This window comes from Homo sapiens, chromosome 11 (genome assembly GCF_000001405.40).
Source record: "Homo sapiens chromosome 11, GRCh38.p14 Primary Assembly".
In the NCBI taxonomy this organism is placed as follows: domain Eukaryota; kingdom Metazoa; phylum Chordata; class Mammalia; order Primates; family Hominidae; genus Homo; species Homo sapiens.
In genome coordinates, this window is record NC_000011.10 from 105,101,460 (window position 1) to 105,103,627 (window position 2,168).

Consider the following 2,168-nt stretch of genomic DNA (forward strand, 5'->3'; position numbering starts at 1 on the left):
GCACCACCTTTCTTTTTACCTTCCTTTTATACATTTTGGCAGGGCATGTACACATATTGGGAAACCACTGCACATGCATATGCATGTCTTTTTTTATTTTTTCATTTTTTTAATAGAGTAAGATTCAGATTCCTGAACTGTAGGCTGCAACAGAGAGTGTATCTTTGGGAAATTTTCTTCACCAGCCCTTTGAACAAGTCAGGGTAGGAGGGGAATGGGGCTTGGAGAATAAGACAAGAATGACAAAGTATGTGTACAATTAAACTCATAGTGAAGAATTTCTCATTCGTTAGAAAGCTTGATGGAGAAAAGTAACACAACCTTTAGAGAATTTGAACCACTGCTCTCCTGGGCCCATTTCACAGTCTAGGGAAAGTCATGGGAAATGTATGTCCCTGTGAAACAATTTTACTTCAAGAAATGAACACATTTTTCACAAAAATTAAAGCTTTTCCTATTTAATGTCCTTCCTTTTCAGATTTTTTTTTCTGATACAGAATTTTATTCTGTCACACAGGCTGGAGTGCAGTGGCACTAACAGGGCTCACAGCAGCCTCCACCTCCCTAGGCTCAGATGATCCTCTCAGCTCTGCCTCCCAAGTAGCTGGGAACACAAGCACATGCTACCACGGCTGGATAATATTTTTATGTTTGTAAAGACAAGGTCTCCCTATGTTTCCTAGGCTGTTTTTGATATTCTGCACTCAAGCAATTCACTCACGTTGGCCTCCCAAACTGCTGGGATTACAGCTGTGAGCCACCCACCCATCCTGGATGGCTTTCTTTTGAGGAACATTACCTCATAGAGGCCTGGAGCACAGGCTCTGGACTCAGAATGTTGAACTTAGCATCTTAAACTTCATTTCTTGGGCAAGAAATTGAACTTCCCTATGCATTAGTTCCTCTGCCTGTGAAATAATTTTAATAATAGTACATACCTACACATTGAGCATTAAGTGAGACAAAATGTACAAAATGCATGCAACATTGCCTGGCAAATGGTAAGCAGATAATGAGTGATATTACTATAATTAATACAAATATTTTACATTAGAAAAATCAAGGATAATTATTTGCAGATTATCCAGCTAAGTTTATCTTTCGTTAGACTCTTCAAGCAGTGCATCTAGTCATTCACTCAACAAATATATATGGACGATATGGTTCTAGGAGCCAGGGGTTCAGTCAAAACATATCATGGTCATTTCCCCCTTGCTCTCACATACAAGAGGGGAAGACAAACATGAAGCCTGGTATGTAGTATGTAACTGGAATATTCAGAATGTGCAAATATGGCAAGTGATGAGAAGAATAAGAAATTAGTTGGAGAAATGGGAGACAAAATATTTTAGGACTCATGAAAACTGTAGAATGAGAAGCCAGAGAAGGCCAGAAGAGGTCTCTGTCTTTGCAAGCACATGTTCAATTGATAATTCCAGAAATAAACTCAATGCGGCCAATTTATTTTATGAACCTCTTTGATGCAAGTTGGACTAATAAAAAAAATGCAGACAGTACTTCACATTTATCAATTTCTTTAAAAAAAACTTTCTTGTGTCATTACCTTGTTATCTTTGGAGAATAAGGACCAGGAGTCACAAAAACATCCACCTTTTGACATGTGGGCCACCAATGTTACTTCCTGTGCTCTAAGCGATGAGTTAAACGTGTTTAGGTTAGACTAGAATGCACTGTGTAGAAGGAAAATAATGTGGCTTTTAACCTAAGGGCTTTCTCATGATTTTTTTTTATCTTTACTTTGTCAATGACCTAGTCAGATTGCAGCAAAATCTTGAGCTCCTTGACAGTGGGAGGATTTGGAGCATGGAAGAAAGCAGAAATTACCTGTGCATCACTTCTCTTCCATTCATTTACTTTTACATTTATGTACTGATTCTTTTATTTTCTCTATTAACTTAAGGATTTCACACATAGTTTTCTCCCCCAGGCAGAGCCATGAATCAGTGAGTTCATGGCTTGTACAAAGTATGACAAAATGGCACCCAGGACACAGAAGCCATGACTAGACCATATATATAGGGATGTAGAACCATGAGCCATGAGTCTTTTGTCCTGGGAAGCTAAGCATTGAGCCACTAGATTACAAGTGCCCACTGTTTCCTCAAAAATGAAGATGTCATAAACTGGCAACAACTCAATATCCAATT